This window comes from Homo sapiens, chromosome 9 (genome assembly GCF_000001405.40).
Source record: "Homo sapiens chromosome 9, GRCh38.p14 Primary Assembly".
NCBI classification, from domain to species: domain Eukaryota; kingdom Metazoa; phylum Chordata; class Mammalia; order Primates; family Hominidae; genus Homo; species Homo sapiens.
The window spans coordinates 35,956,827-35,976,985 of record NC_000009.12 but is presented as its reverse complement, the minus strand read 5'-3'; the positions used below and the strand labels follow the sequence as shown (position 1 = coordinate 35,976,985).

The 20,159-nt window shown below is 41.5% G+C and overlaps 1 protein-coding gene and 1 pseudogene across 1 annotated transcript; both read left to right on the top strand.

The window, feature by feature from the left end:
* Positions 4,529-6,046, top strand: YBX1P10 (Y-box binding protein 1 pseudogene 10; annotated as a pseudogene).
* Positions 18,832-19,878, top strand: OR2S2 (olfactory receptor family 2 subfamily S member 2). Its single transcript, NM_019897.2, has one exon. The coding sequence runs from the start codon at positions 18,888-18,890 to the stop codon at positions 19,845-19,847; it is 960 nt and encodes a 319-aa protein (NP_063950.2). The 5' UTR covers positions 18,832-18,887; the 3' UTR covers positions 19,848-19,878.
* The last annotated feature ends 281 nt before the right edge of the window (positions 19,879-20,159 follow it).

Sequence of the window (20,159 nt, the reverse complement as noted above, 5' to 3'; positions counted from 1 at the left end):
ATACAGCAAGAAAGTGACAAAAACCCTCTGAGGCATGGATGTGATGGCAGCATAGACAGGGAAGTGAAACATTCAGCTGGGGTCAGCTCAGAGTCAAAAGGGACTTCTCATTGTGGGGAAAAGGTAAGCAGGAGCTCCTCAGCAGTCCCCATTTCAACTGAGGACATCTGCAATCTTAGCTGCTGGCATGCCTCACAAGTCTCACAAGCCTTGAATCCATAATAGGGAGCTGCCTGGAGTCTGCATAACCTCATTGCTCTAAAGAAGGAACACACACCAAGTGCCCCCTTACTCCCAGGACCAAAGCTGCTACAGCATGGTGGCCATTTGGGGAATGAGGTTGCTGTTGGTGTGCATCTTGACCTGGGATCCTATAGCCACTACATGTCTACATTTTTGGAGACCAGCCATCATCCCCTGATACCCATATGGAAAACTGCACCACCACCCCAGCTAGACCCAGCAGTACAGCCTTAACCCCAGCACCTGAGTCTATGCATTGCCCTACACTCCAGGGAGCAGGCAGTTCAGGACAGCATGGAGGCCACCCTCAGGACTGGAGGAACAGACATACACATTCCTTAGAGCCATAAAACAAGCTGCCTGATACCCACCACCACCAATGACTCTGTCCCCTCCAATGGCAGAACTGTCACGCATTGCAAACATATTCCAGGAACCCAGAACTGGTCCAACTGGTACCCACCACTGCCAGTCACCCTGCCCCCTCCAATCGTCTCATATTATATATGCCCCCTAGGGACGAAGAACCTGCCTGTGTGGTGCCCACTGCCACCAGCAACCCCATCTCCTTCAACTGCAAAGTAGCCATGCACCATGTATACCCCCCAGGAACCAAGGACCAGCTCGTCCAGTGCCCACTGCAGCTGGCAACACCATCCTGACAACTGGTGGAGACACTATGCTCAGTGCACACCCCCACCGCAAGAACTTAAGAACCAACCCATCTAGTAGCCCCTGCCTCTAGCAAAGCCACACAACAGCCTCCACAAACACCTTCAGTCTAGGCCACTGAGGCACTCACAGACACCACCACTGACATTGATTAGAGCTAAAGAAATCACATGGAGACTGCATTACTGCACTCACAGAACAAAATTCAAAGCACCCTACCAAACCAACAATACAGGACACATCTACAGGAAAAAGGCTTTCCCTATGGAAGCTACTCCATAAATTTGGAAGGGCTGACTGCTCCATTAGATGCACAAATATCAGTGTAGGAACACAAGAAACATGAAAAACAAGGAAACATGACACCTTCAAAGGAACACAATAATTCTCTAATAACAAAACCAAAGGAAAGGAAATCTATGACGTGTCTGAAAAGGAATTCAAAATAATGATCCTAGGAATCTCAGTGAGATACAAAAGAATATCGATAGATAATTCAATGAAATCAGAAAAACAATTCATGATCACAATGAGAAATTCAACAAAGAGAAAGAGTTCATAAAAAAGAACTAAACAAACCTTGGAGCGGAATAACTCAAAGAATAAAAATACAATTGAGAGCTTCAACAACAGAGAAATAATTTTTCAACTTAAAGACAGATCTTTTGAAAAAATAACCCAGTGGAACCAAAAAAAAAAAAAGAAAAGACAAAATAATTTAAAAGAATGAAGAAAACCTACATGATTTATGGGATACCATTAAGCAAACAAATATTGCTATTATGGGAATTCCAGAAGGAATAGAGATTAGAAAGGCATAAAAAACCTACTTACTGAAATATTAACTGAAAACTTCCCAAGTCTTTGTAAAGATACAGACATCCAGATCCAGGAAGTTCAAAGATCCCCACACAAAGTCAACTCAAAAAGGTCCTTTCCAAGGCACATTATAGTTAAATTGTCAAAAGCCAAAAACAAAGAGAAAAATTTAAAGACAGCAGGAGAAAAGAATCAAGGCATATACAAGGGAATACCTATTAGACTAATAGTGGATTTCTCAGCAAAAACCTTATGGCCAGGGAGAACGATATATTCAAAGTACTGAAAGGAAAAACTGGCAGCCAAGATTACTATACCTAGCAAAGCTATCCTTCAGAAATGAAGGGGAAATAGAGTCTTTTCAAGACAAGCAAAACAAGAAAATGCATGACTAGACCAGCCTTACAAGAAATGCTCAAGGGAGTCTTACATCTGAAGTGAAAGGATAATAACTACCATCATGAAAACATGTGAAAGTATAAAACTCTCTGCTAGAGCAGATAAACAAATGAGAAAAAGAAAAGGATCAAACCTTATCAACTACACAGAATCACCAAACCACAAAGATAAGCAATAAAAGAAGAATAAAGAAACAAAGGATATATAAAACAACCAGAAAACAAATAACAAAATGACAGGAGTAAGTATTCACCTATCAATAATAACCTTGAACGTAAACAAATTAAATTATCCATTTAAAAGATATAGACTGGCTGAATGAATAAAAAGAACAAGACTCAACTATATTCTGCCTACAAGAAACTAATTTTACCTGTAAAGACAAACACAGACAGAAAGTGAAGGGATAGAAAAAGATATTCTACACAAATGGAAACCAAAAATGAGCAGGAATAGCTATATTTATACTAGATAAAATAGACTTTAAATTAAAAATTGTAAAAAGAGACAAAAGGGTCACCCTCCAATGATAAAGGGATTAATTCCACAGGAGGATTATATGACAATTGTAAATATTTATAAACCTAACACTGGAGAACCCAGATATATAAAGCAATCGTTAGATCTAAAGAGGGAGAGAGACCATAATACAATAATGGTTAAGGACTTTACCACCCCATTGTCAGGATTGGGCAGATCATCTAGACAGAAAACCAAAAAAGAAACATTGGATTTAAACTGCGCTATGAACCAAACAAATCTTACAGACATTTGCAGAATATTTCATCCACCAGCTGCGGCATACACATTCTTCACCTCAGTATATGCAACATTCTCCAGGATAGACTGTATGTTAAGCCAAAAAATAAATCTCAACAAATTTTTAAAAGTTGAAATAATATCAAATATATTTTTTGACCACAATGGAATAAAAATATAAATGAATAACAAGAGGAACTTTAGAAATGTAATGAATAGATGGAAATTAGAAAACATGTTTCTGAATGACCAGTGAGTCAGTGAAGAAATTAACAAGGAAATTTAAAATCTTCCTGAAATAAATGAAAATAGAAACACAACATGCCAAAATGGGACATAGCAAAAGCAGTATTATGAGGGAAGTTTACAGCAATAAACATCTACATTAAAAAAGTAAAAAGAATACAAATAAACAACCTATTGGGGTACCTCAAGTAAATAGAAAAGGAAGAACAAACCAAACCCCAAATCAGTAGGAGGAAAGAAATGATAAAGATTAGAGCATAAATAAATGAAAGAGTATTTAAAAAGTATATAAAAGATCAAGGAAACAAAAATTTGGTCTTTTGAAAAGATAAATAAAATTGGCAAACCATCAGATAGACGGAGAAAAAAAAGAAAAGGCCCAAGTAAATAAAATCATAAATAAAAAAAGGAGACATTACAACCGATACAACAAAAATGCAAAGAATCATTAGAAACTATTATAAATAACTACACATCAACATACTGGAAAACCTAGATGAAATGGGTAAATTCCTGGACACATACAACCTACTAAGGTAGAACCAGAAATAAACAGAAAACCTGCACTGACTAATAATGAGTAACAAGATTGAAGTAGTAAAAAAGTCTTCCAACAAAGAAAAGCTCAAGTCCAGTGGCTTTACTGTTGAATTCTACTTCAGATTTAAAGAAGAGTTAACACCAATTCTTCACAAACCATTCCAAAAAATTGAAGGGGAGGAAATTTTTCCAAACTTACTCTATGAGGTCAGCATTACCCTGATACCAGAAGCAGAAAGGGACACAACAAAAAAAGAAATGCAGGCCAATATTCCTGATGAACATAGATGCAAAGTCTTCAACAAAATACCAGCAAATCAAACCTGACAGCACATCAAAAAATGTATACACCATGATCAAGTAGGATTTATGTCAGGGATGCTTGCAAGGATGGTTCAACATACGCAAATTAATAAATGTGATTATCACATCAACAGAATGAAGGAAAAATACCATAGGATCCTCTCAATAGATGCAGAAAAATGATTTGATAAAATTTAACATTCTTTCATGATAAAAATTCTCAACAAAACAGGTATAGAAGAAATGTACCTCAACACAATAAAGGCCACATATGACAAACCCACAGCTAACATCATATTAAGTGAGAAAAAGTTGAATGCTTTTTCTCAAAGAACTGGAACAAGACAAGGATGCCACTTAGAACCAAAAAATGAAATCAGTAAAGTAGCAGGACACAAAAATTAATACACAAAATAAGTAGTGTTTCTATAAACCAATAACAAACTAGCTGAAAAAGAAATCAAGAATGCAATTTTATTTACAATAGTCACGCCAAAAATACCTAGAAATAAATTTAACTGAGGATGTAAAAGACCTCTACAAGGAGAGTTCAATCGGTAGCGGGAGCGGAGAGCTGACCCCAGAGAGCCCTGGGCAGCCCCACCTCCGCCGCCGGCCTAGTTACCATCACACCCCGGGAGAAGCCGCAGCTGCCGCAGCCGGCCCCAGTCACCATCACCGCAACTATGAGCAGCGAGGCCGAGACCCAGCAGCCGCCCGCCGCTCCCCCACGCCGCCCCCGCCCTCAGCGCCGCCGACACCCACCCCAGCACTGCAGGCAGCGGCGCAGGAAGCGGTGGCCCGGGCGGCCTCACATCGGCGGCGCCTGCCGGCGGGGACAAGAAGGTCATCGCAACGAAGGTTTTGGGAACAGTAAAATGGTTCAGTGTAAGGAACGGATATGGTTTCATCAACAGGAATGACACCAAGGAAGATGTATTTGTACACCAGACTGCCAGAAAGAAGAATAACCCCAGGAAGTACCTTCGCAGTGTAGGAGATGGAGAGACTGTGGAGTTTGATGTTGTTGAAGGAGAAAAGGGTGCGGAGGCAGCAAATGTTACAGGGCCTGGTGGTGTTCCAGTTCAAGGCAGTACATATGCAGCAGACCGTAACCATTATAGACGCTATCCACGTCGTAGGGTCCTCCACGCAATTACCAGCAAAATTACCAGAATAGTGAGAGTGGGGAAAAGAACGAGGGATCGGAGAGTGCTCCCGCAGGCCAAGCCCAACAACGCCGGCCCTACCGCAGGCGAAGGTTCCCACCTTACTACATGCGGAGACCCTATGGGCGTCGACCACAGTATTCCAACCCTCCTGTGCAGGGTGAAGTGATGGAGGGTGCTGACAACCAGGGTGCAGGAGAACAAGGTAGACCAGTGAGGCAGAATACGTATCGGGGATATAGACCACGATTCCGCAGGGGCCCTCCACGCCAAAGACAGCCTAGAGAGGACGGCAATGATGAAGATAAAGAAAATCAAGGAGATGAGACCCAAGGTCAGCAGCCACCTCAACGTCGGTACCGCCGCAACTTCAATTGCCGACGCAGACACCCAGAAAACCCTAAACCACAAGATGGCAAAGAGACAAAAGCAGCCGATCCACCAGCTGAGAATTCGTCCACTCCTGAGGCTGAGCGGGGCAGGACTGAGTAAATGCCAGCTTACCATCTCTACCATCATCCGGTTTAGTCATCCAACAGGAAGAAATATGAAATTCCAGCTATAAGAAATGAACAAAAGATTGGAGCTGAAGACCTTAAGTGCTTGCTTTTTGCCCGTTGACCAGATAAATAGAACTATCTGCATTATCTATGCAGCATGGGATTTTTATTATTTTTACCTAAAGACGTCTCTTTTTGGTAATAACAAACGTGTTTTTTAAAAAAGCCTGGTTTTTTTCAATACGCCTTTAAAGGTTTTTAAATTGTTTCATATCTGGTCAAGTTGAGATTTTTAAGAACTTCATTTTTAATTTGTAATAAAAGTTTACAACTTGATTTTTTCAAAAAAGTCAACAAACTGCAAGCACCTGTTAATAAAGGTCTTAAATAATTGTCAAAAAAAAAAAACCTCTACAAGGAAAATTATAAAATCCTTTTACCACACTTACTCAACATTGTACTGAAAGTCCTACCCAGAGCAAGCAGGTAAGAGAAAGAAATAAAGGACATTCAGGTTAGACAGGAGGAAGTAAAATTATTCTTGTTTATAGAAGAAGACATGACCTTATACAGAGAGAAACCCAAAAACTCCACCAGAAAAAAAAGCCACTTAGAACCAAAAAATGAAATCAGTAAAGTAGCAGGATACAAAAATTAATACACAAAAATCAGTTGTGTTTCTATACACCAATAACAAACTAGCTGAAAAAGAAATCAAGAATGCAATTTTACTTACAATAGTCACACCAAAAATACCTAGAAATAAATTTAACTGAAGATGTAAAAGACCTCTACAAGGAAAATTATAAAATTCTGATGAAAGAAATTAAAGTGGATGCAAAATGATACAAAGACATCCCATGTTTATGGATTGGAAGAATTCATACTGTTAAAATGAATGATCATACTGCCAAAAGCAAACTACAGCTTCAATGAAATTCCTATCAAAATATCAATGACATTCTTCACAGAAATTTTTAAAAGTCCTAAAATTCTTGTGGAACTACAAAAGGCCCTGAGTAGCCAAAGTAATCCTGAACAAAAAAACAAAGTTGGAGATATCATACTATGTGACCTCCTACTGCAGCTATTGTAGCCAAAATAGCATGGCACTGGCATAAAAAGAAATATATAGAACAATGAAACTGGCTGGGTGGGGTGGCTCACGCCTATAATCCCAGCACTTTGGGAGGCCGAGGTGGGAGGATCACCTGAGGTCAGGAGTTTGAGACCGGACTGGCCAATATGATAAAAACCTGTCTCTACTAAAAATACAATAATTAGCCAGGTATGGTGGTGGGTGCCTGTAATCCCAGCTTCTCAGGAGGCTAAGGTAGGAGAATCGCTTCAATCCAGGAGGCGGAGGTTGCAGTGAGCCGAGATCGCTCCATTGCACTCCCGGCTGGGTGACACAGTGAGACTCCATCTCATTAAAAAAAAAAGGGGGGGGGGCCAGGTGCGGTGGCTCACGCCTGTAATCCCAGCACCTTGGGAGGCCAAGGTGGGTGGATCACAAGGTCAAGAGATGGAGACCATCCTGGCCAACATGGTGAAACCCCATCTCTACTAAAAATACAAAAATTAGCTGAGCGTGGTGGTACATGCCTGTAGTCACAGCTACTTGGGAGGCTAAGGCAGGAGAATTGCTTGAATCTGGGAGGCGCAGGTTGCAGTGAGTCGAGATTGCACCACTGCACTCCAGCCTGGTGACAGAGCAAGATTCTGTCTAAAAAAAAAAACAAACAAAAAAAAACACAATGAAACAGAATACAGAACTCAGAAATAAATTCACATATTTACAGCCAACTGATTTTTGACAGAGGTGCCAGAAACATTCATTGGGGAAAGGACGGTCTCTTCAAAAAATGATGTTGGTAAAACTGGATACCTATATGCAGAATAATGAAACTAAGATACCCATCTCTTACCGTATACAAAAATAAACTAAAGATGAATTAAAGACCCAAAGCTATAAAACTACTAGAAAAAAACATAGGAAAAACACTTTTGGACACTGGTCTGGGCAAAGATTTTTATGAAGAATGCAGAGGCAACAAAACCAAATGCACAGGCAACAAAACCAAAAATAAACAAAGAGGATTATATCAAACTAAAAATCTTCTGCACAGCAAAGGAACTGATCAACACAGTGAAGAGACAATCTGCAGAATGGGAGAAAATATTTATCTGAGAAGGGATTAATATCCAGAATATACAAATAACTCAGTGGCCAAAACCAACAACAACAAAAATACAGTTGGCCCTTGAACAGCGGTTTGAACTGTACAGGTTCACCTATACATAATCTTTCTTCTACCTCTGCCACCTCTGAGACAGCAAGACCAACCCTCCCTTCTCTACTTCCCCCTCCGCCTACTCAACATGAAGACAATAAGGATGAAAACCTTTATGATGATCCACTTCTACTTAATGAATAACAAATATATTTTCTCTTCCTTATGATTCTCTTAATAGCATTTTCTTTTTCTAACTTAATTTATTGTAAGAATAAAGTATATAATACATATAACATACAAAATAAGTGTTAACTGAATGCTTATGACATTGGTAAAGCTTCCAGTCAAGAGTAGGCGATTAAGTTTTTGAGGAGTCAAAAGTTGTATATGGATTTTCAATTGTGCTGGGGGTTGAAGTCACTAACCCTCACACTGTTCAAAGGTCAACTATAATATGATTTAAAAATTGGCAAATGTTCTGAATAGACATTTCTCAAAAGAAGACATGCAAATGACCAATGGGTATATGAAAAATGCTCAATATCAGTAATCATCAGGGAAATGCAAATCAAAATTGCAGTGAGACATCATCTCACCCCAGTTAAAATGACTATTATCAAAAGAGAAAAATAACAAATGTTAGCAAGGATGCAGAAAAAAAGAGAATGCACACATTGTTGTTGAGAATATAAATTACTATAGCTATTATGGAAAAGAGTATGAAGGTTCCTGAAAAAACTAAAAAGTCTTACCACGTGATTCAGCAATCCCACTACTGGGTATATATCCAAAGGAAAGGAAATCAGCATGTTGAGGAGCTATCTGCACGCCCGTGTTTATTGCAGCACTATTGACAATAGCAAAGATATGGAGTCAACCTAAGTGTCCATCAAGAGATGAATGAACGAAAAAAATGTGGTTTTTATACAAAATAGAATACTATTTGGCCATAAAAAAGAATAAAACCTGTTATTTGCAGCAACGTGGATGAGCCTGGAGGACATGTTAAGTGAAATAAGCCAGGCACAGAAAGATGGATACCACATGTTTTCACTAATATGTGGAAGTGAAGTAAGTTGATCTCATAGAAGTAGAAAATAGAGTGGTGATAACTAGAGGCTGGGAAGTGGGGGTGGTGGAGGAGGGAGAATTTGACTAATGCATGCAAAATTATAGCTAGAGAGAAGGAATAAGTTCTAGTGTTCTTTAGCCCTGTAAGGTAACTGTAGTTAATAATAATTTATGCTATATTTTCAAATAACCAAAAGAGGGTATTTTGAATGTTTCCAACACAAAGAAATGCTAAATGTTCAAGGTGATGGATATGCTAAAAAAAAAAAAACCTTGGTTTTATCATTGTACATTGTATACAGATATTGAAATGTCACCTTGTACCCCAGGTAACAAATAAAAATTAACTCACAATGGATCGCAGATTTAAATTTAAAGGGTAAAACTATAACTCTTCTAGCAAAAAATATAGGAGAGAAACCTTGAAACATACAGCATAGTGGAGAGTTCTTAGGCATAACAACAAAAAGCAAAATTCATGAAAAAAAGATAAATTTGGATGTCACCAAAACAACTTTCAAAATCTGACAGTATAAAACAACAATAACAATAATTCAATTAGAAAATGGGCAAAATACATGAAGAGACATCTTGTCCAAACAGGATATACAGTGGCAAATAGCAATGAAAAGATGTTCAACATCACTAACTTTTATGCAAACGCAAATTAAGACCATAAGGTATCACTTCACACCTATTGAAACAGGTAGAATAAAACATGTTCACAGCACTGAAGTTGGCAAGGATTCAGAGAAACTAGATCTCTCACACGTTATTAGTGGGAGGTGTATATTGACACACCTACTCTGGAAAACAGGCAGTTCCTAAAAAACTAAATATATGCTTACCATATAACTCAGCAATTACACTAAACTAAATAACACTCTGGCATTTATCCCAGGAAATCAACATTTATGTCTGCACAAAAAAAGCTACTATACAATTGTTCACAGTAGCTTTATTTGCAATAACCAAAAATTGGGACAACAAAAATGTCCTAAAATGGGTGAATGAATAAACAAACTTTGGTACATCCATGCCATAGAATACTACTCAGCAATAAACAGAAATTAACTACTGATACATGCAGCAACATGAATAGACCTCACAGCATTACACTGAGTGAGAAAAAGTCAGTATCAAAAGATTACAAACTATATGATTCCATTTCTATAACATTCTCAAATGACCAAATTGTGGGGATAGAAAACAAATTAGTGGCTGCCAGGGGTTACAGATGGGGAAGGGAGGGGAGTAGGGATGACTAGAAAGGGATAGCATGGGGGAGACCTTTGTGGTGATAGAATAGTACCATGTCTTGATTGCGCTAGTGGTCGTATGAATCCACACATGTGATAAAATGAAATAGAACTATACACATACACATTGCACCAATGTCAATTTCCTGGTATGCTATTGCGTATTGAATATTGTGTATTTAGGTAAGGTGTAACAAGCAGGTGAAACTAGCAGAAGGATACAAGAGACATCTTCGTACTATCTTTGCCACTTTCTATGGATCTATAATTATTTCAAAGTTTAGAGGTTTTTAAAACAGGTAACAATAATTCAATGCCTTCTCATAATAAATATTCTTAGCCAACCAGGAACAAAAGGGAACATTCTTTTGAATGTTATCTATGAAAATCTATGGCAAATATCATACTAAATGGTGAAAATAGTGAAAGTATTCTCTGTGAGATGGGAATGAGGTAAGGATGTTTGCTATTGCCACTTTTCATTCGGCATTGAACTGAAGGAACCAGCTTGTGCAGCAAAGCAAGAAAAAGAGACAAGAAGTCTAAAATTTTTGAAGCAAGAAAAACAACCATCATTATTCACAGATGATATTACTTGTGACCTATGAGAAAATCTAAAATAATTTACAGACATATTATAAGAATTGAAAACAGTTTATGAGAATAGATTGTGGGGACAGATTTTTAAAAAATGAAAATAAATTTTAAAAGAAATAGAAAATAAAAATTTTATTTAAAAAAAAAAAAAAAGAAAAGAGAGTTTAGCCAGGTCACTAGACACTAAATTAACAGCAAAAAGAAATCTACTGCATTTCTACATTCCAGCAAGAGAAAATGAAATTTTTTTAAAGATACCAAGAAATATACATTAACTAGGGGTAAACCTGGCAAAGAGCTCCAAGATCTTTAGGCATGGAAGTATAAATTATAAAAAATTTTGAATAATATTAAAATAAAGAGAGAACAGTCTATCAATCACAGGTGGGAAAACTCAATGTTATAAAGATGTTAGTTCTCTTCAATTTGATCTATAGAGTCAATGCTATCCCAATTTTATTTATTTATTTATTTATTTATTTATTTATTTAAAGACAGAGTCTCACTCTGTTGCCCAGGTTGGAGTGCAGTGGCGTGATCTCAGCTCACTGCAGCCTCCACCTCCTGGGTTCAAGCGATTCTCCTGACTCAGCCACCCGAGTAGCTGGGATTACAGGCATACGCCACCATGCCTGGCTAATTTTTGTATTTTTAGTAGAGATGGGGGTTCACCATGTTGGCCAGGCTGGTCTCGAACTCCTGACATCAAGTGATCCACCCACCTTGGCCTCCCAAACTGCTGAGATTACAGGCGTGAGCCACCGCAGTCAGCCCTATCCCAATTTTTAAACCACAGAAAGAAATATTGTAGAATTTAATAAGCTGGTTGTATAGTTTATATAGAAGAACAAAAGGACTAACAACAGCTATGACATATTTGAAGAAGTATTGGGTGGAGATGAAGGGAGGTACCCTACGAGAAATGAACACATACTATAAAGCAATCAATGAGGGCAGTGTAGTGATGACACAGGAATAGACAAGTAAACCAATGGAAACGATTAGAAACGCCACACACAGATCCATTCCTGTTAGGAGACCTGATGCATGGCAGAGATGGTATTGCAGATCGGTGGAGAAAGGATGGGTTGTAAATTCAATTAGGAAAATCGGGAATATGTATGTATACCAGGAGAAATGTACAAAATATTCATAGCAGCATTCACTGGGAAGCAACCCAATTATTCATCAAAGTAGAATGTATACATAAGCTATGCTACATTCATTTAATGGATTTTAACAATGTAAATTAACAAACTTAGCTACGCTCATAAACATAGACGAATCTCACAAACATAATAATATTGAGTGAAGAAACAAGTCAAAAAGAATACCTACGACTGATACCATTTATCCAGAGTTTAGAAAGAGGCAAGCCTAAATGATACTGTTTAAGGATGCATACATAGATGATAAAGTTTAAGAAAAGCAAGGAAATGGTTATAACTAAAATCAGGAGTGTAGTTATCTCTGGAAGGAGGGAAAGAGGACTAGGATCAGAAAGGGATACTGAGGGAGCCTCAAAGGTACTGGCAATGTCTGTCTCTTAAGTTAGGTGGTAATTGCTAATATTCTCTAGATTAAAAATATGTTTTATATACTCTTATATTAATGTGTACATGTGTGCTATATTTCACATTTTAAATTATTACACATACCAAAAATTTTAAGTACCAAGTTTTAGATACTATAATGCCATATAACTTCTCACCTATCAAATTGGCTAAGCCCCAAAGGCCAACATACTATGTTGGCAGAGTGTGGAAAAACAGACATTCTCATTCACTGATGAGAGGAACGTGTGAATTTGACAATCTCTATCAAAATTACAAGTGAGCATAAAACAGATATATTTTCACCACATGTGCTAAATTATGACTATGCAATGGTATTTGTTGTAGCATTGATAGTAATAGCCCAAGGTTGGAAAATCAATGGCCATCAGTGGCTGGGTGCAGTGGCTCAGCCTGTAATACCAGCACTTTGGGAGGCCGAGGTGGGCGGATCACTTGAGGTCAGGGGTTCAAGACCAGCCTGGCCCACATGGTGAAACCCCATCTCTACTAAAAAATAAAAAAAATTAGCCATGTGTGGTGGCACACGCCTGTAATCCCAGCTACTCGGGAGGCTGAGGTGGGAGACTTGCTGGAACCCAGGAGGCGGAGGTTGCAGTGAGCCAAGATTGTGCCACTGCACTCCAGCCTGGGCAATAGAGTGAGACTCCATCTCAAAAAATAAAAATAAAATAAAATTAGCCGGCGTGGTGGTGCACATCAGTAATCCCAGCTACTCGTAGGCTGGGGCATGAGAAACGCTTGAATCCAGAAGGCAGCAGTTGCTGTGAGCCAAGATCTGCACTCCAACCCGAGTGACAGACCAAGACTCCATCTAAAACCAAAAAAAGACCACCGGTAGCCGACTGGCTAATTAAAGGATGGCACACCCATTCTTTAACATACACAATGGAGTGTATGTAGCCATTTAAAAGAATGAGGCAGCAATTTTTTTTTTCAGGAAAACTCTCCAATGTATATTTTTAAATGAGAAAAGGAAGATAGTAAAACAATGTATATTTCTGCTTAGCTTGTCTCAAAAATATTTATTAGTATAGAATATCTCTAGGGAAAAAAATCACACAAGAAATTGCTAATATTGCTTGCCGCAAGAGAGAATGACTGAGTAATTGGAGAGTGAGGCTTAATTTTTAATATATACACTTCTGCATCTTAATTTTGTTCCAAGTCAAGTAATACCTACTAATAATTATGACAGTCGTGGTGATGATGATGATGATGACTACAAGTGATGAAAAAGAGAATCAGGTGTATTGAGACTGAAATCCCAGCTCTGCCACTCACTAGTGATCATTGGTAAATTGCTTAACTTTTTGAAGGCTGTCCCTCAAATGAAAACATCGGGGGATCATACGAATCTCCTGGGCCGACTGAAAGTAGGTGCTCAACACACATGCGTCACATGCATACCGTATATGTACGGTGTTTGTCAGTGTGCCCGGCACATGGTAGCGCTCCATAGATGGAGCTTGTGCTGCTGCTGCTGCTGCTGTTGGAAGACATCTGTCTTGTCAACCATTCTGGATCTCTAGGACTTCAACCTGGGGACAAGGTGCTCTTCCCTGAAGCGAGCACCATCTTTGTTTCTCTGACACCTGAGGGAAAGCTCAGGGGGGAGCCAGCATTTTTGAGGTCTCCTCTCCATGTCCAGTGGCTGGGCCCCTGTCACCACCTCTAATTGGGATGGGGTGTGGTCCCTGGAGCTCCCAGGTATGCATCGACCTGTGCCCTGTGCACATGTGGCACTCCAAACTTTAAATTACTTGTGGGATTAGCAGGGCCCTGGAGTAACTAATGTGTCAGGGGCCCCATAGAGTACACGGTGCGGCTCGAGGATTCCTTCGGCTGCTGGGGAAAACCTACCTTCGGGATTTCTGGGCCTCAGGCCAGGAAGCCAGATCCTCTTCATGAAGAGTCTGGAGCTGGGACAGCAGCATTTAGCCAGCACAGCTGAAAGGAATGAAGTGAGAGAAACACCACCAAAGGCTAAAGTGCCCACACGATTTAAGAGGAAAAAGAAGAAAGAGGGTCTCCCAGGTAAGGCAGGGGCATGTCGGGGGTCTTTCTCTGGCACAGTGTCTAGCCAGGGATCCAGGGAGGAACTGAGAATTGCGTGTGGAATCAGGAGACTCAGAAGCGGCCATCGCGCAAGAAGCAGATGGGGAGAGCTGGGCTGGGGCGGGGGCAGGGATGGGGCGGGGCAGGGATGGGGACATGCCTCTTGCAGGACGTTTGCCTCAGATGCGCTTTCCTCCTCGCCCCGCCTCTGCTTCCAGAAACCTCCCAGCTGCCACTGGTCCTAAGCAGCAGCTGCTGCTGGGGCAGAGAGGAGCTGCTGGGCTCCCAGTGCCCGCCGGGGACCCCATGAACCAAGTCCCCTCCCTGTCCTTGCTGCTCTGTCCCTACGCAAGCCCCGAGGGGGCCTGGCAGGGCTTCCATCCCACTCCACAGGCGAGGAAGGGAGGCTCAGAGGAAAAGCGGACTCCCTCAGGGTCAGGGGGCGAGAGGCAGGTGGGCCTGTACCCAGCCCTGTCTCTAAGCCCACTCTGCGGCTAGCGCTTTCCGTTTCTCTCACCCGCCTCTGAGAAATGCTGAGATTTTTTCTGAATACAAAATAACTCGTATCCATGGTATTCAGAGAAAATTTGGGAAACACTGAAGAGGTACCGAGAGGAATGCTCTGCCCCTATGGATTTTGCTATCTTTTCTTTCCAGTCGCTTTTTTTTTTTTTTTTTTTTTTTTTTGAGATGGAGTCTCTGTCATCCAAGCTGGAGTGCGATGGCGTGATCTCGGCTCACTGCAACCTCCGCCTCCCGGGTTCAAATGATTCTCCCACCTCAGCCCCCGAAGTAGCTGGGATTACAGGCACATGCCACTATGCCCTGCTAACGTTTTTTGTATTTTTAGTAGAGTCGGGGTTTCACCATGTTAACCAGGCTGGTCTTGAAATCCAGACATCAAGCGATCTGCCTGTCTCGGCCTCCCAAAGTGCTGGGATTATAGGCGTGAGCCACTGCGCCCGGCCTCCAGTCACTTTCTATCCACATGATTGCTTACCTAATTGAGATCATAATAGTGTGTGCAAGTTTGACCTTGCCCTTTTAATTTATCATTATGCTATAGTAATATTAGCATGGAGAAAATTACCAATAGGACTATGAGGTCTGTCTAATATTCCATTATGTGAAAAGCATGATTTACTTAGGCACTTATTGGTGGAGAGCTGTATTGTTTTCTATTTTCATTCACAAATACTGCTGTGATAAATACCTTTATTGAGAGATCTTGGCCTCCATGCTCACTGATTCTTTAACACATTTCCTGAAGGGAGAACAGCTGAGGTGAGGGGCAGGCAGGTTTTTTGAATTTTTCCTTTTCCTAGGCAAATTTCCCTCCAGAAAGGCTGCATGAGAGTGTATGGCGCTCTTTTTACAGCACCACGTTGCCTCCTACTTCTCATCTGCCTGCTGGCTCCAGAACAGGTAGAGACAAGACCATGAGCCAAGCCAGGTCCCTGGGACAAACCAAGGCTCCATGCCTGCAGGAAGCGGCCACTGAGCCCAAAGCTTCCCCTCTTCCCCTTGCTCTCCCTAGCTGCCTCCCACCTCCCCGCTTCTCTCCCTCCTCTTATGGGGCTGCAGGTGCCAGACCTCTTTGTTTGCTTTCATTCTGAATCCCTTCCAAAACCTGACATAGCTCTACTAACTGTTGAATGTTTCTTGATGGACAACCAGGAATTCAGATCTCCCCTTCACACAGACACACACACACACACACACACACACACACCCCTCACATTCATCAGTGTGGGCAGCCACCTTCATCAAGGACCGCTCCCTGCTTGCAGAGGTCAGCACTGGAGGGTCCACGACAACCCTCAGAGCTGGGATGCCCTGGGAAGCAATTATTCAGCCTTCTCATGGAGCACATGGGGAAACTGAGGCCTAGGGGGGAGAAGAGACTTACTCCAGCTTGATGGAATATCCATCACCCAGGCAGGGGTAGTTCCACTAGCTCTGATCTCAGAGTGCAGAGTCTTCCCAGCTGTACAGTTCATTTCAATTAAACAAATGTACTCAGCAACTTTTCATAACAGACAGAGGCTTCCACAGAGGCAGCTCTCAAGGAGGCCAAATCCCACGCATCATTCATGCCCACAGGATGTTATTCATGGATAGAAACTTCTGTGTGCATAGATTTATCTTGTGGGAATGCGCAGTGTGGCTTCCCTAACAGAAATCACTTTCCTTGGCCTCTGCAACCACAGCATCTGCTTGAATCTGGTTTGTGGCACTGAATATAATGTTTGCTTTTCTTCATTTTCTGGAGTGGGTGAGAGGTGCACTAGGAGGAACAGGAGATAAGCTGGGGTGGAAGTTCAGGGTGGGGCACTCAGAGGGGGTCAGCTTGCACTGAGCAACCAGGAACACCCTTCTGTGCTGTATGAAGGGATGGGAAGAGGGGAATAGGATTGCACAGGAAATACCTTGAGACCCATGGTTGTGTAATGGGGGAAGCTTCTCCTGGGTTAGACCAATCGTTCTCTTCTGGGTATAATTTTGCACCGTCCCCCCCGCCAACCCCCCCCCCCCCGCCCCAACACACACACCTTTCCCCTGGAAGCATGTGGCAGCGTCTGGAAACATTTTGATTGTTACAACTCAGGGTAGAAGGTGCTATTGGCAACTGATTGGTGGAGGTCAGAGACTCTGCTAAACATCCTACAATGCACAGGACAGCCCTCACACCAAAGGGTTATCCAGCACAAAATGTCAATCGTAAAGAATTTGAGAAACCCTGAGTTCCATTTAGGGTGGGAGGTGCACTGCCTGACAACACATCTGACATAAACCCTCCCCCATGACTGAAGAGAGAGTGTTGGACAGACAGTGAGACTGGCCAGAGAATACACAGAGCTAATTGAGATCATAACAGTGTGTACAAGTTTGACTTTGTCCTTTTAATTTATCATTATGCTATAGCAATATTAGCACAGAGAAAATTATAAATAGGACTATAAGATCTGTCTAATATTGGAGGGACAGAATCTTTTGCAAAGCTGTGCACCAAAAGAGAAAAGCAGCTGTTTCGTGAAAGAACTCAGGACTAGGTCTTGGAATCCAACTCCAGCTCTGCCATTCAACCCCAAGGAGCAAATTTATCTTCTGAGCTCCAGTTACTTCACCTGTAAAACCTGAATGATAATATCTTCTCCATGAGCTGTTTCAAGAAATATGGCACAGCTTATATTCCTTAATATTAGTGAGAATCCCTAATATTCTCACTAATATTAATATTAACCACTCATCTTCCATCATCCACCCACTCTTATACACACTCATAGAGCCACTGTCATTAAGAAGGAGCTATCAAAATATTATCTATGAGTACTTTGAATTTAGAGTCAGGGAAATTGCAAGTAAGAGACTAGATATCCTCTATACAAAGGCATATAAGTCTTCCTATAAGCCAGCTGCTTGCATAGAACTCAAGAATGGAGTCAGAGAGTCAGAAGATAATGCAAGAATAAAATGCAAACATAAAAGGACAAAGAAAAAACATTCTTAGTCATTCACGGTTAGGAATTTCACAGACATCCTAATGAGATGGGATCAGAAGTTAATGCCATATACTCTACTATCGATAACTATAGTTAGAGTGTGGTTATTAATATTGCATTAACTAACTGGTAAGCTACACAGTGTTGTCTCATGGTGTGAGTTCAGTCACTCCAACAAATCCATTTGTTGGCTTCATAAATTTCCCAGCTATAGGACCTCCCCATATATTGCAATAAATCCATATTTCAAATAGGCAGATCTATTCCTGTCAATGCTCAAGCCTGTGTCACTAGACTGAAGAAGTAATGCTCTTTATGGCTGAATATTAACTAGGCTTGTTTCTGTGTGAATATGGTTGAACAATTTTGCGCAATTTCCTCCCCACGTGTAATCAAAGTTTAAAGAAACTTAATCACTTGCTAGGTCCAAGAATTGCATCTTCTTGGGAATTTTCCTCTCTGAGAATCTAAGAAAGCCCAGATCAAATGAAATTGCTGTGGATTTGCATTAAAGAGAAATAATTCATAGCATTTCCTAGCACTTAATCACAATGAAGAGGAAAAGCCCTCCTTGGGCCAGGGATATGCTCTGCTGGGTTCAAGTCTTGTCTCTGTCACCAACTTGCTCAGAAGATTTGGACAGGTCACTTCTCCTCCCCAGGCCTCTATCACCTTTGTGGACACTGAGAGGGTGCAGCAACTTCAGAAAAATCCCTCATGCACAACCGGACATTTGAGGCCCTCACCCACTACCTGTCCAGCTCTGACCTTCTGTCTTCTAAGACACCCCCTACTGTCTCTTTCCGTCATTTTTCTCTTGCACAGATATGTTCTTCTATTATGCAATGGGAACTTGACCACATATTAGATGCCTAGGACTCTTCCCAAAAAGCCTGATGCGCTGCTCAGTACTTTGCTGATGGCAGAGGGGATATCACATGGAAAAAGCCAATGAGACCTCCCCTGTGATGGGGTTCGTTCTCCTGAGGCTCTCTGCCCACCCAGAGCTGGAAAAGACATTCTTCGTGCTCATCCTGCTGATGTACCTCGTGATCCTGCTGGGCAATGGGGTCCTCATCCTGGTGACCATCCTTGACTCCCGCCTGCACACGCCCATGTACTTCTTCCTAGGGAACCTCTCCTTCCTGGACATCTGCTTCACTACCTCCTCAGTCCCACTGGTCCTGGACAGCTTTTTGACTCCCCAGGAAACCATCTCCTTCTCAGCCTGTGCTGTGCAGATGGCACTCTCCTTTGCCATGGCAGGAACAGAGTGCTTGCTCCTGAGCATGATGGCATTTGATCGCTATGTGGCCATCTGCAACCCCCTTAGGTACTCCGTGATCATGAGCAAGGCTGCCTACATGCCCATGGCTGCCAGCTCCTGGGCTATTGGTGGTGCTGCTTCCGTGGTACACACATCCTTGGCAATTCAGCTGCCCTTCTGTGGAGACAATGTCATCAACCACTTCACCTGTGAGATTCTGGCTGTTCTAAAGTTGGCCTGTGCTGACATTTCCATCAATGTGATCAGCATGGAGGTGACGAATGTGATCTTCCTAGGAGTCCCGGTTCTGTTCATCTCTTTCTCCTATGTCTTCATCATCACCACCATCCTGAGGATCCCCTCAGCTGAGGGGAGGAAAAAGGTCTTCTCCACCTGCTCTGCCCACCTCACCGTGGTGATCGTCTTCTACGGGACCTTATTCTTCATGTATGGGAAGCCTAAGTCTAAGGACTCCATGGGAGCAGACAAAGAGGATCTTTCAGACAAACTCATCCCCCTTTTCTATGGGGTGGTGACCCCGATGCTCAACCCCATCATCTATAGCCTGAGGAACAAGGATGTGAAGGCTGCTGTGAGGAGACTGCTGAGACCAAAAGGCTTCACTCAGTGATGGTGGAAGGGTCCTCTGTGATTGTCACCCACATGGAAGTAAGGAATCACAATCACATCAGCTGCCATTCAAAAGCCAAGTCATGTGACCTATAATGGTTTCTCACTCTAAGTCCATTTGCAGGAGATATTAAACTTTTCAGACGATATCTCCTGAGTTTTAGTCCTATGTCTGACAGCTTCAACAGACACCAGACTCAATAAATAATCAACTGTGATGAAGGCATTCTGAACATACGGTAAAACCACACGAGACAGCAGCCATGAAAGCATGACGCATGGCCCTTAGAGTGTCTCAGCTCTAGAGTTAGAA

Coding starts and splice junctions, on each gene's coding strand:
- OR2S2 (NM_019897.2), top strand. CDS start 18,888: ATGGAAAAAGCCAATGAGACCTCCCCTGTGATGGGGTTCGTTCTCCTG.